Source organism: Homo sapiens, chromosome 8 (genome assembly GCF_000001405.40).
Source record: "Homo sapiens chromosome 8, GRCh38.p14 Primary Assembly".
Lineage (NCBI taxonomy): Eukaryota > Metazoa > Chordata > Mammalia > Primates > Hominidae > Homo > Homo sapiens.
In genome coordinates, this window is record NC_000008.11 from 130,318,838 (window position 1) to 130,333,961 (window position 15,124).

General features: G+C 40.4%; 1 protein-coding gene across 22 annotated transcripts in view, besides 3 other annotated features; it reads right to left on the reverse strand.

Moving 5' to 3' along the window:
• ASAP1 (ArfGAP with SH3 domain, ankyrin repeat and PH domain 1) overlaps nt 1-15,124 on the reverse strand; it is a 391,571-nt gene that overhangs the window by 266,734 nt on the left and 109,713 nt on the right. The gene's annotated exons all lie outside the window — the stretch shown is intronic.
• Nucleotides 9,227-9,506: an enhancer, noted in NCBI's record as "active region_27986". NCBI's record gives its function as "activates an Ori minimal core promoter by ATAC-STARR-seq in GM12878 lymphoblastoid cells {active_cell/tissue: GM12878}" and the evidence as "EXISTENCE:reporter gene assay evidence [ECO:0000049][PMID:35858748]".
• Nucleotides 11,262-11,311: a silencer, noted in NCBI's record as "silent region_19546". NCBI's record gives its function as "represses an Ori minimal core promoter by ATAC-STARR-seq in GM12878 lymphoblastoid cells {active_cell/tissue: GM12878}" and the evidence as "EXISTENCE:reporter gene assay evidence [ECO:0000049][PMID:35858748]".
• Nucleotides 14,513-15,092: an enhancer, noted in NCBI's record as "H3K27ac-H3K4me1 hESC enhancer chr8:131345596-131346175 (GRCh37/hg19 assembly coordinates)". NCBI's record gives its function as "activates a minimal SCP1, AML or CMV promoter by ChIP-STARR-seq in naive H9 embryonic stem cells {active_cell/tissue: H9 hESC(naive)}" and the evidence as "EXISTENCE:reporter gene assay evidence [ECO:0000049][PMID:30033119]".

Here is a 15,124-nt window from a genome sequence, read left to right on the forward strand (position 1 = left end):
GGCCAATGGAAAAAAAGATCAGCAGGACAAAGCAATGGGGCCTTCAGCTGATGGTCTCATCACTGCAACACTGCCCTACTACAGGAGAAGTGGGAAGGGAAAAAACCCATTAGAAGCAGAATTAAAAGCTAGGAGTCTGCTTTATCTGAGTAGAAATTATAAGAAAATTAAAACAATTTATTAGAACTTAAAAGCAGTCACTCCTATAATCAGCACCACTGTCAGTCTTCTGAAGCGTTTTTACAATTTTCACTTCCTCTGTAGCAATTACTGTGGTTATTTGGAGAAGAAATTGCAAGGGAGCTAGTTGAGCACCTTGGTGAAGAACACTAAGATGGCAAGGAAGCTTCTGCAGCTAGAAATAGAATGGCACCCTCATTTATGTTACTGTTGCATTGGATCACATAGCCAGAACCAGCCCCCAGCTGCTACTAATTTTAAGAGAGCCATTTCTGTTCTTTAAAAAATAAAATAAAATAAAAAAAGGAATAAAAGTATGTTGAGAAAAATTCCTGGCACTTCCCTGACAGACTGTCGTATTAGTGAATGAAGACTAAAAACCAAATGGGGAGAAAGCAGCCAGTTCAAGGGGTGGTGGGGATTGCTCCAGGCCCTGAATGAGGTAGTGTGGTACCCTTCTTGCAGGGCTATGGGAACACTGAGTGGCACAGAACAGAGCAAGTATTTACAAATCCTGTGAATGGGGAGTCAGAGCCTACCTTATCCGTGAAGATGGGACACACTGGCATCCACTGGTGGAAGCATTCTGGGAGGAACTGGGCAATGTTCAAAAGCCCTAGACCCAGCAACTCTACTTACTGAGATCCCTTCCTGGGAATCATCAAAAAGATGAACAGAGCAACGCACGTATTAAAATAGCGGAGGGATGGAAAAACCAACATCAGTAACAGGAATATGAATAAAGTAGGTGAAGCAGTAAGACAGGTACACCCACACAACAGAATATTATGTAGTCATGAAAACAGAGGGCAAAAGTTTTTAATGACATGACAAAAAAACTTTCTAGGTGAAAAAGGCAGAAAATGCAGCTGCATATATGACATTATTTTGTACACTAACTACTTCATACAATTATTTACATGTTCTATATAAAGTCTTCACTATTACTATATAATGCATAGAAAAGTACATTTTAACATATTCCTGTCTAGTTAATGCTATTAGTATTCACAAAATTAGCACACAATCTTCTTTGTACTTTTCTGTATTTTCCACATTTTTATAATGAGAAATTACTTACAATGTTCTTTAAAAAATAAAATAAAAAAGGGAAATTACTTTCATAATCAGAAAAGTCACTATATTTTAATGCAAAACCAAATTTATCATGCCTATCAAATTCACTGCCAAAATGGAATATCAATGAGCATATATGTCATGTGCCTCCAGGATTTAAGATCATAAGAAATACAGAGGGCCAGGAACAGTGGCTGTCGCCTGTAATCCCAGCACTTTGGGAGGCCGAGGTGGGAGGATTGCCTGAGCTCACGGGTTTGAGACCAGCCTGAGCGACATGACAAAACCCCATCTCTATAAAAAATACAAAAATTAGCTGGTGTGGTGGTACTTGTCTGTAGTCCCAGCTACTTGGTAGGCTGAGGTGAGAGGATGGCTTGAGCCCGGGAGGTGGAGGTTGCAGCGAGCACCACTACACTCCAGCCTAGGTGACAGAGTCAGATCTTGTCTAAAAAAAAAAGAAAAAGAATACATACATACATATGAATGAGGCCTGACACCTAGATTTAAACACTGAGAAGTCTAGGGCTGTATGAAGGAGGAAGAGTTAAAAATGAAAATTATAACCAACCTAGATGTAGCTTTCCACACAACCAGGAAGAAGTATCATTCCTCTCTAGTATCACATTAAAAAAAAATGGAGAAAATTCAGAGCTTTTCATCCTTTCTAACAGGCTACTCTGAAAGTAGAATTTACCAATGGAAAAGAGTAAAATTATCTATCCCAAACCACTGATCAGATCAGTAGACATCAACACCATTGCCCTAGTTTACTTTGCCAAAGAGTGCAACATGCCCAGTCTTCGGTTAAAGACATCAGGAACAATAAAACAAGTAAACAACTAACGGGCTAGCCACCTATCTAACTTCAAATAGAGACAACCAGAAATTTGAGAAAACCTTTTTATCTCATCCCAAATATATAAATCAAGAATGCTGGCTGAGGAAACCTAAGGATCCTTTCAATTTTGAAATTTTGTGATTCCAAGACACAATAAGTTTAATCTTTGGCATATTAAGCTATCTTTCCTGGAAGAGCAGCTAATTAAATCTTCCAAAAGGCTGTCAATCTCCTGCCCCCAAAAAAACATGGATTATAGTGAATAAGCCCCAGTGGCTACAGAGACAGGTGACTGCAAAGAAGCAGGCCTGGCATTTACAACCCACTCTATAGCCTCATTTATGGTACTCTGCCACCTCTGCAAGTACAACTGATTTCAAATTCGGCTCCATTTGACCATGTGGGCTTACACATGAGGGTCTGGTTCAGCACCAAAGATTCCAAAGGGCAAGAAGAAGCAGGCATGTGAGGGTCAATCAGTGAGTTGGGAGTTAAAATCCCTCCTCAGTCAATAGGAATGTGAACTCTGGGACCTCAATTTCTACATTTACAAAAAAGGAGAGAGATGTACTTACTAGATGGAAATCTCCAGCTTTTCCACAAAGTATCCCTTAGAAGTCAGGGGGTGCATCCTAAAGCACTCACTACTCTAACTACATAAACCTAATAAAGACTCTGTTTTATCACCAACACTTGTGCATAGTTTGCACTCCTTTGTATTTCCATGGTTGCTTAAATATAAAATGATTACTAGTCACTTAAATTGTCTAAGTTCTTCCACTCCTCCCACTCAAAATCTCTGAGTAAAACTAATATGCCAGAAAGATACCACGTTTGTCTTTTAACATCAGTTATCTCATCCCACCATCACATAAAACCCAGAGGACTACTTCCCCTAGTATGAGATTCAAGGCTCTTAATAATCATATAATTTTCTCTTTTAATTTTCTATGATAAAATGAAATAAGTGTGCAAGTGTCCAGCATTATACCTGGCATATAACAGATGGTAAAAAGATAGATGCTAAATCTCAATCTGACTTCTAGCAAATTAAACTTGCTTTGCAAAATATGCATTGCAAAGTGCTGAGCTGGGAATGCAAATCATAAATGTAATGAAGATGCTACTGTGCTGCCACGGTTCTTCATCTCTAGAGATTTTTTGTTAAGAAAAATCAGCTGGGGAGAAGACAAGAGAAGCAGCAAGTAAAACACACAAAAGCAAAATTTAAAAGTCAATAAAACAACTTCCAAAAGAAGGCTATGTAGGTATGCAGTGAAAAATTGCATAAGAAACTGAGAGATAAAAATTCATACTCAGGTTTAGTTAGAAGTCTCTCTGGAGATGAATTTTATGCCATCTGTGGTTAAAAAAAAAAAAAAATGAAAATGCTGTAACTAAACATGATTCCTTCTCTTAGATGCAAATAAATTATGGAGTTACTGCAATCTGCTGAAATCAGGTGTCTTGAGTCCCCGCTGTCTCCTACAGAGAGGTATTACATTGATCTTATCCCAAACTGCCTCATTTTACCTTGTATTTGAATCACTGGCTGCCAAATCCTTCAGGCTGCAGATGGCACATATATCTTAAGTAATTAAATACAGAACTGGGGACTAGGAATCAGATAGGGGAAGTAAACATTACTGACCTTCTAACAATTCCTTTGTACTTAATGATGAGGACTCAGTTCAATATAATGCTATCTGGATTCAGTTCGATTCAACAAATATTCATTTAGTGCTTATTATGGCAAATCCTCATGCTAGGGATTGTGAAGCATGTATAGAACACAGTCCTTACCTAAGTGAGTTTACAACCTGGTAGGAGAGACAGGATGCACATACGTATAACTAACAAAGGGCAGAATGTGGTAAGAGCAAAGAGAGATATACAAAGACCTGCAATGGAGAGCAGTGGGAAAAGATCATTTCCAGGCCAGGGAGACGCAGAAGGCTTTGAGGAGAAGGAAGTCCATGTGTCGGATGGAACTTTCTAACAAAACACCCATAGGACCAGTTCTATCCAGGCTTTGTGAAGCACTAGGCATTTGTGGAATCAAACTGGATGAGAAAAAGATCAGAATAGGCAATGCAATGAAATTATCGTGCATCTGCTGGAGTGAAGACAGTGCTCCAGTCATTACAGACAACTACTGCACAGAAATGGAAGGAAACTGTTGTTCCTAAACAAAAGCAACTGCTCCTGTTGATGGCATGGTAGTATTAAGACTCCGTTCTGGATCATCACCATGTTCCTGGGGAGGACAAGATTCCTAATGCTGAGGCAAATGGACTGCTATGCCGTTCTATTCAAGCCTGAACATTACGGACTGGACACTCATTTAGGGATGTGAGAAGGAGGGACAGAAACTCTTGATGTTTTTAAACACTAGTGTAAAGAAACAAGAGGGAACATACTTTCTTTAGCCACTTTTCTGAAAAGAACAAATAAGCCTTTAAAACTGTAACCAACACTATCAGACAAGGGAAAGGCAGCATTAAACTGACCTAGCTCTATCAGACAAATATAAGTAATTTCAAGGCACAGATTTCCACCTGCCAGTCCCCTGTCATGTTGGATAAGAAAGTGACCACATTTCCAGTGCCATCTGCAGAAGAGCTGAAAGTTCTATCTCATGTGAAAAACCGTTTTGACTCCTCCTACCTCCCTCTACTGTCTGTTCCCCCTAATTCCCATTTCCAGCCAGAATGCAGCCTCCACTCCTCTATGGTCCCATAGTCCTTTGCAGACATCACTTGCAAAGAATTTATCATACTATATTAAAATTAGGCATACTATGTATGTAAGGCCCATAACACAATGCTAGGCACTCAGCAGATCTTTGATAAACAATAAGCATCTCCCCTCTAGCCTTGAGAGACATCCTTGAGGGCATCTTTTTATCCTACTGCCTAATAGATTACCAGGCATTAAAAAAAACCACTTATCTGTAAATAAATACCCAGAAACAAAAAGATGCAGATGCAGGAGCAATTGTCCTTTCTTGCCCCATGGCTCCCAGAGCTGCCAGGGCTTCCTAACAATACTACTCCCTCAGTTATCACCCTATTCCTCCAGGGGCTCAAAATGTATTGGGCCACCCCTCTCCTTCCCTGCCAGCTCTGTTAGAAACCAACTAACCCAAACCCTCTGAGTCAATCATCAAATCAGTAGAAGCCAACTTTCTGTAAAGGGCCTGTGAGTTTCTAATCAGGAAGATCTGGACGGTTCTGGCAGGGCCTCCCTGGTCCTGCCAGAAGCATCATGACTCAACCCCACTTCTCTGGCTGGTTGGCTGTTAACCTTTACTGAGCTTCCAGAAATGTTAGGCTCACTTCTCTTTTAACAAAATGAAATGAGAAGGTAAACATCATGGGTAAGGAAACAGCAGGTCTGGGAGTATGGCCGAAACTGTCTAAGGCTGTCTTGGAAGCAGGTAGGGATGAAAAGGTTGAATATCATTAACCAACTGGAGAGCTGTATCCACTTGCAAAGAAGTAATTTTTTAAAAGGTTTAAAGATGATCTAAGTCTGACCCCTTTGCTCTACAGAAAAGGAAATTAAGGCACAGTGAGGCAAACTGACTTGGGCAAGTACTTAGAAAAAGGACATCAAATAACCAAGAACTGACAATACATGCAATGGATGACTCAGATGTGTTCAAGGGAATTAATTATATCCTAATATAACTATGCAACAATTTAGGAAGCATAATTCGTAAAATCCATTAAAATATGAGGCCTCCAAGTCTATGGATACAAGAATAGGGCTGGGAAATTTCAGTGGTACTTACAACTTCATCTGTTTTACCCAGACAGTTAAGGTTCTTGTAATGAACATTCACATGGCCCACATCTTAACCATGCACTCATTTTTTACAGCACCTCTTTTGAAAAGCAAAAGCACACCCTTGCATCCTCAGCTAGTGGCACAGTGCATGAGCATCTGGTGCAAGAAGCAGGAGAGGCTCTAGACAGTCTGCCTCGTAACCCCGAGCTCTGCAAAAGCCAAGCAAAGGTGACTGAGAACAAGGAACCCCCAAAACCCAGAACACTGGCTGCTCACCGGCAGCCCTGCTTGCAGGCCCTTCCAGAGGTGGGGTATGTCCTACCCTAACCCAAACATGCCTATACATTTAGGGACCAAAATTCCACTGACAAATTCTGGGGGGCGGAAGAGAATAGCAGCAGTAATAATTAATGTGTGAGCTTTCAACCTTTCCTTTTCTGAAAACTCAGATGAGTTCACATTTAACTCTTTCTTGGGGTCAAATATGGTAGTTTCTTTTTAACTAGGAGGAGAGCTGAACAAATTGGAGAAAGAATTCCTTTCTTTCAACGTATTCAAAAGCAAAGAGAATTCCTAAACATTTGCTCAGGTAATACAGATTTCTAGCACTGAGGCCAACTTCAAACAGTGCACAGTGAGAAAAGACCAGTGCTACACTATGCTTGCCTCGTGTGAATTTGGTAACCACACCACAAGTATCCTTGTTAAGAAAAAGACATCTGTAGCACTTATCATATTTTGTTCACTCTATAAGCAAAGTAAGAGACATCTGTTCTTAAACTATGTGATCTAAAAGTTCAAACACACCTGTCTGAATGACTAGTTGAAGATCAGCTATTGTGCTGAGGAAGGCGTTTTGGGATATACAAAGAGGAAAGCATAGCCTCTATTTACAGTTTAGTGAGACACTAATACGTAAACAACTAGTTACCATACATAGAACAGAATGAAGTGTTATAACTGTATTAATTACCACATGCTGAAATGCCAAGTGACTAAGTTAGGGCAGGGCTAAATGCTTTTCCAGCACTGTCTCTCCTACTTCTTATAAACTGCTGTTGAGATAGATGTTTTTGTTCTTATATTGTGGATGACAAAACCAAGGCTCCGAGAAGAGACCACAAAACATATGATTAGTAACAGTAATCACAAGCTTTAGGGAGTACTAAATATGCCAGAAACGGTGGTAAGTTATGCACCTTACATGAAATTTTCTATTGTCTTCACAATGATGTTTTAAGTACTATCATTATCCCCAATTCACAAATGAGAAAATGGAGAAAATTTAAGTAAACTGCCATGGCGGAGCTGGCTTAGGAACCTAGGTCTTTTTGACTCCACAGCATGTGTCCTTAACCACCGTCTATAGTTCTAAGTAGTAGAGGGTTGCTGGAAATCAGAGAAGGCTTTAAGGAGGAGGTGGCATGTGATATGCCTCACTCTCAATGCAGTGCCTCACTGCCGACTTCCCAGCGCATATCCTTACTGCTGGAGACCGACAAATGAGAGAAGTCCCAGCATGCTCACGTACAAAAGAACAGGAGTTTGCTTTTACAAGTCTACTATCATGATTACAGTACTCATGCACCGACTTGCAAAGCCTGTGAATTCACCTGCCTGCAATGTAAGGGCCACACTTTCCTACAACTTTTATAAAACATCAGTGCTGCAATAGGATCCCCAATTTAAGCACAAACAAGTTGAAATGCCTCAAGCAATTTCCACCCCAAATAAAATACAGGTTTCAATACACACCACGAACAGACTGGATGTGCTGGAATGGTAGTTGGTGCAACACTGCTGAACTCCTGTTGCAACAACTTTCATTTTTATTTCCCCTGAAAAAAGCTTAAACAGCTCGCTCCACGCTAGTCAAAGAATATTAACAGGGTGTCCATCCGGAGGCCAACAAAGAGTAGAGAAAACACCAGCAACAACAAATAAATGTAAATGTTCAAGGGTTCTACACTTTGAATGCATTAAGACAGCCAGACAGCAAATGAGCAGAAATGGATTCTTCTATGAGAATCCCAACATTTAAAAGCAAAGCATTAATTTAATGCTTCTCTCCACATTGTGTTTCCCAGCCCTGAGAACTGAAAATGACCTTATAGAATATATTCAGAGACAATCAGTGGCCTATTTCTTCAGGATCCCTTTATTTCGCAAGTCATCTTAATTTAGCCTTTCAGATTCTGGCACACCAGACCCACTGTGGTTATTCCTTCCCCTCCCCAGGTCAGTCCACATCAGAGCACCATGATTTAGATATGAATAACTGGATGAATGCCCCCAGGAGGCAGCATCTGAGTAGCTAAGGGAGCTTTCACAGAGTTGGCAGGATGATCACATGCCAAGAGCAAGGGAATTTCAATTTGCAAAGGTGTTGGTAGGGCACTCTATCTTTCTGAGCAGATGTAATGAATAATTCTCCCTGCACTCCAGTTCCTCTAAGAGTTGTCCTTGGATTTGAGTGTTGTGGCACTATGTGAACAGCTGGTGATACTATGGCCCTGTCTGTCTTCCAATGGCTCCGCTCAAATAAGTCACTCATCCTCTCCCACCAAACTGTTGTACCAAAATTGTTGGGCAAGCTGCTGCTGTTATTCCCTGAACAGCTCCAACTGGACCTCAGTGTAGGGTGTTACCAAAGCTTGGCTCCAGTGTTAGGGACCTTGTTATGGTGTGATAGCAGCTCTAGGAGCCTGAAGCTCTTCAGGAACATCTCACAGCACAGGCATGTAAGACCACAGGTGAAGATTTTATGTTACTTCTTAATTAAGTAACATGGAAGAATCTTCATTAAGACTCTCAGGTGACTCTACTGAGACGGGTAAAGAAGATTAATATAAATATTTCCTATAATCATGAAAATAAATTAAATTTCCAACAGCAGTGGAATAGCTGCTAAAGTAAGGTATATCCACATAACAGAATATTGTGCAGCCATTAAAAAGCATGGCTTGGAAATGTCCAGAATAAGCAAATCCACAGAAACAGAAAGTAGCTTAGTAAAGGATTTGGAGGAAAATGAGGAGTGACTCTGACAGTTACAGGACTTCCTTTTGCATGATAAAAATGTTCTAAAATTGACTGTGCAACTCTGAATATAGTTAAAAAACACTGCATTGTATACTTCAAATGGATGAAGTATGCTACGTGAATTAAGCACCAATAAAGCTATTTTTTAAATGATGGTTTGGTAGACTAATGACATGGAGAAATGCTCAATATAAAAGGAAATGGCAGTTTTTAAGACAGGTGATTTAACAGGATCCCACTTTTGCAAAAGAAAAATATATATATACACACTGAGTTTTATTATCTTCTACTTCTAGCACCACTACTGCAGCTGTCTAACATTTACTGAGCACTTGAACTCTGGTGGCCAGTGTCGTAAGTATTCTACATGCATTTCTCGCCTATCATCATAACAATTCTGTGAAACTGGTACTAAATGAGGAAATGACCACGACTGGTGGACAAAAAAAAAGGCTTGAGCAAGTTCACATAATTAGTATGTAGTGCCACAACAGAGTTTCAAAACCAGGGCCAAGAGACCAAAGACTATGCTCTTAACCACTGTGACAAATAATACAGTAGTCAATAGTCTTAAAAGCAGTGAAAGTGCAGGTGACAACCTTTATACTACTTTTGTTACAATAAACCTGTATTAATTTCAGGATGAGGGAGGAAAAATAAAGTAATTAAATTTTGCTGAGTAGAAGTAAGTTCTGATCATCTGCCCCCTGTGGTAGGCCCTCCACACAAACACAACACCTTGGCCACACAATACTGCACCATATTATTTTCATGAGAGATGTGGGCAGTTTTAAGACAAAAAGCTGTAAAAACCCAATTAATTAGTTATGGCTCAGTAGTTCTTTTTTTTTTTTTTTTAAGAGACAAGGTCTCCTCTGTCACACAGGTTGGAGTGCACTGGAGTACAGTGGTGTGATCATAGCTCACTGCAGCCTTGAACTCCTGGGCTCAAGCAATCCTCCCACCTCACAGCCTCCCGAGTAGCTAGGAGTACAGGCACATGCCACCATGCTCAATTAATTTTTATTTTTTTATTTTTTGTAGAGATGGTGGTCTCCCTATGTCGCTCAGGTTGGTCTCAAACTTCTGGCCTCAAGCAAGCCTCCTACCTCAGCCTCCCAAAGTGTTGGGATTACAGACATGGGTCTGTATAGATTTTTATGGTTGTTAAAAGTCAGACCTCTTAGACTAGCAGGAAATATAGGGTAACACTTCCCTTAATCAAATTTCTAATGGTCAGAATATGATATCTGCTGGAATGGTTCCACTGAAGCCTTTGTTCCCCAGAGGCACTTCATTTTACTCCTGACCAGATGGTGGGTGGCTCTTCCTCACACTGGATTTAACACTTAGGGTATGAGAGCCCTCCAACTGTTCAAAATCCAGCCTTAACCCTCAACCACTGCTGCTGCCTCATCTCTGAGTGACACAGCGGTTCACTAAGCCACTTAACTAAATAAGTTTTCCAGTTCTGTTTCCATCCTGGTCTCTGTTGCTCCTCTCAAAACATGGCATCCAGTTGTGGAACAGACATTGGGTGGGAACCTCCCTTGATGAAGATACAACAAAGCTTCAGCTTTGGCTTGGCTCTTTTCATTTAAGACTGTGAGAACTTGCACAGTTGCTACATCCTAAGTATTGCCAAAGGGTAGAGCAAAGATCCAGGATCTTGGATTTATTCATTCCATTTCCCAAGAGCTATTAAGAGGATCTTGGAGGTCAGCTGGTCCAAATCTATAGTCCTACAGACGTAGAAAGTGGCATGGGTGGGTGGCTATACAACTCGCTCAGAGTTCCACAAGTGATACTGCTCTCCTCCAGAGCTCCTGTGCAAATATGTTACTGGCTCATAATAAATGTCCAACTAAACACTTCAGGTATTCTCAAGCTAAAGTTGAGAGTATTTTACATTTTAAGAAAAAACAAAGAGCTCTGAAATAGGGACTAAACAGAAAATCACACAGATGCATTACTTCCAATAAAAATGTTTTGACCACTTATGACGTGTTGCACTTCTCTACTAGGGCAGCCTCAGATGGCACCATTCTAAGTTCTCCTTGGAGGAAAACCACATGGCTCAGTGAGAAGCCATGTTTATCAATTAACTGGAGCAACACAGTCTTATTTACTCAAATAATTTTCTAGTCAACACATCCAGCAGCCCTGAATCACCATTTCCCTCCTGTCCTGCCCCACAAAGGGAGGGATGTTTGATGTTACAGCTAGTGTCACAGCTTTCAGGGAGAGACAGTTGTAATCTAATTCCTCAATTTGTCAAACAGGACATTTTCATTACAGCTGGACCCAGCTGGAAATGAATCACTCCCACACACGTCCCCAACAAAACATAAAAGGCATTTAACAGAGAAAGACACACATGTACTGTACACAAACCCACAAAGACAGAGAGAGAGATTGCTTCATCAAACCAAACTGAGTAAGCATGAAACCGTACTACCCATCTAATGGGAGTCTCCATTCCACTTTGCATTTTCTCACCCTGGGTCTTTGCTCAAAAGGTGTCCTCTGCCTGAAATGTTCTACCCATCTATTCCTCAGGTCCAGGTCCGAAAGGACCCTGTAAGATTTCTCCAGTTGGAACCTGTCATGACCTCATGTGTGCTCTCAGAGCAATCTGAATTATCACAGCTCTGACCGGTCTATGCTATATTGCAGCTAACCTGGCACCCCACAACCACCACCCCATTCACCTGTGAACACCTTTGGGACAGAAAGCATGTCTAATTCATTCTGTTACCCTTCCCTCAGTCATCTACCAAAAACCAGGCACATAGTAGGTGCTCAAATGGCAGAATCATGTTAAACTGTACTTAACTCATGTGAGGCCTTCATGAGCATTTAAGGTTTATATTGCCAAAGGCAATTTGTCTTACGGGTAAGCTTTACGATGGATCATTGTTTCCTTTCCCAGTTTAAATGTGTGTAGGTATCTCTATGGGGAAAGGGACAGAAGACAGGGTTCTATCATTTATCTTTTGTTGCCTTCTGGAAATTTTGCCTGTTTTTACATATAATCATTCTTAAACCTATAAAAATGCCCCGAGCTGAAAATTTTAGGTGAAGCCATGAAGAATATACTGAACCCAATTCTACGATTCTCTGGGATGCTCCTGAAAGTACAAACAAACCTCCTTCCACTTCTAGCCTTTTTTTCTCAGTAGCAGATGATATGGTGTACCAAAAATGGGCTTTGGCATCAGAAAGACCTTAGCTGTCCATTGGCCAGACCAGCCTTTCCAATGCTCAGTTCCCCCAGCTGCAAAAAGGGAATAAGATTACTTCCCAAGCAGATGGACATAAAGAATAGATAGGATATAAAAAGAGCCTGGAACCTAGCAGGCACACATATTAAATGTCAGCTAATCTTAAGTGTTGTGGGCTCCAAAGTTAAGGAAAGGGGGCATGGCTATTTCGAGTGGAAAGAGCGAGTAGGGCCCTATTACCCCTTAGACCATTCTCTGGAAGGTTAGTTGACATCACAATGTCATCTTGCTCTTAGATCCATCCTTCTGAACCATGATGGAACTGCCAAGCCCAGAGCAAGAATTCCATGGAAGCAGTCTGGAGAGAGAAAGGAACACTGGCTCTGAGCATTCCTTACTAACTGTGTCAACTTGGTCAGTTTACTTCACTTCCCTGGGCATCAGCTGAAGAAAACGGGCCCAGAATGTTAAGTAAAGCAAGTCACACAGTTGCTTAGTCCACAGACTATGGAATCTGGCAGGCATGAAATCCAGCCTTACTTCCTGCCTTCCTTATTATAGTGGAGGAAGTTACTTAATTTTAGAGCCTTTTCTCATTTGTAAAAAAATAGGACGTCCACCCACATCAGGTTATCATGAGAAAAGTATTAGATAAACATGTAAAGAGTTTAGCACAGTACTGTTACCTAGTCAAGAGGTGCCAAGCCCTCAAAATCATGTAGCTAGTATTTTATTAGCAACATTAAAAATACAAGCAAAGCATTTAAAAAATACACCCCAAAATTCACAGACATATCTAGAAACACATACACACACACATGCAAACACACAATGCACATCAAGTGGGGAGAATGATCAGAATCCACAAAAGCTGAAAAATGGGGAAACTGAGGCCCAAACCCAGAGAACCATAGAGCAGATCCCCAAATATTTCTGTGTGAAGTCTCGGCCCAAGGTCTAGGTTTGCTTTCTCAGAACCACTAAATCCAGAGAGAATGATGGAATACACAAAATTACAGGGCTTACACAGAGAAGAGAAGTTATCACTATGGCTACTATTTCAAATCCAAGAGCAAGCACCTCTCTTGGAGGCCTGTTAACTTGGTTTTGGGTCACAGAGTAAACATTTCATGACCAACATCTGAAATTTTCCATTCAACTTTGAAGAAACAGTCTGATTTGATGGCACTTGTGAAGTTTACAGCTTCTGCTCTGCATCTTTCTGGTGCTTTTCAATGAAGATGTTGAGTGCTTGTTATCATTACAGGTCTACACCATATCACCAATGGCAGGGAGTATAATGAAAACTCTGTCTTTTTTCCTGCTGAAAGAGAAAACCTAATTTCACCCAGAAGCCCATCCACACCACCTGCACTTTTTGAATATTCAATCCCACTTCAAGTTAAATAACCATTTTTATGATCATTTCTGTGATTATGTCATTGTACTTTAGTTTACAGTTTCATTATTTGTACACTGTCAAATAAAAAATAATACAAAGAACATCTAATTTTACTTCAACACTTCCAAAAATTTCCTAATCTCCAACCCCAAAGTGGAATTCAACATCAATAGCAATGCTTTTGGAAATATTCCAGAATGCAAAACAACTTTTCGTTTTCTTATTAGAAACTCTGGATTTTTTCCCTCTTCTGAATGGCTGAAAGTAGAATAAAAAGGCTGCTTCCTTAGTTAATCTCAGCCTGATTTTCTTTCTACTTCTCTTATCACTTTCTTCAAGTAAAAGGATAATCTTTATTAATTTTCCAACCTGGAAGAAGCCATTAATATGTCAATGACTGATTCTAACTTGAAAGCACATGCAGCACAACAGGCACAATTTTCATTTTATTTTTGTAAAAAAAATTTTAGAAAATATTTCTATATAAAAATCTAAGAAATCTATAACAGCTAAAAAAGAAGTTTTTTTTTTTAAAGGGAAAATAATACACTGACAACTTATCTAAGGAAATTCTATTCACATTACAGAAAGAACTAGCAGCAGCAACATTCACAGTGATTCAAGCACAAAGCGGTTCAATCTTTCATATGGAAATTCTGTTTGGAGGCGAAACCGTGTCATGCTCTATTTTGGGTAAGTAGCTCTCAAAACTCAAGGGGGAATTACAATTATATATCTACTCCATACTACCTTATTATCTACTCCTTATTTCCTAAGCACCCCCAACCCTAGTCCAAATCAGTTGGATTTAAAAGGCTATTTTATAAAGAATTATAAACCAACATGTTTTAACTCTAATCATCTTTAGTTGATGGGATTACTTGAGATTTTTCATCTTTATTTCTATAGTAAAAAGGCATGGCTGGCTGGGCGCGGTGGCTCACGCCTGTCATCCCAGCACTTTGGGAGGCCGAGGTGGATGGATCACCTGAGGTCAGGAGTTCGGGACCAGCCTGACCAACATGGTGAAACCCTGTCTCTACTAAAAATATAAAAAAATTAGCCAGGCATGCTGGCACATGCCTGTAATCCCAGCTACTTGGGAGGCTGAGGCTGGAGAGTAGCTTGAACCTAGGAGGCGGAGGTTGTGGTGAGCCAAGATCGTGCCATTGCACTCCAGCCTGGCCAACCAGAGTGAAACTCCGTCTCAAAAACAAAACAAAACAAAACAAAAAACAAACGGCATGGCTGTAACAATTTTTTTAAAGTATGGCAGGGCATATTGCCATCATGAAACAGAAAGGTTCATATACAAGTCACAACACCAGAAGATTAATATTTTCGCCAATCATACAGATAAAATTATCAGACTATTAGATGCATTTATTCATTCAGTAGTATTTCTGGAGGGCCTATTATGTGACAAGCAGCATGCAGAATGGAACACCATGCCTATCCCCCAGAAGCTGAGATTACAGAAGAGACTCACAGCCATCAGGGAACCCCGTGAAGCCTCATGGGTGTTGGGCCACAGTGTGCACAGAGCAGCTGGAGCTGCAAGGACTG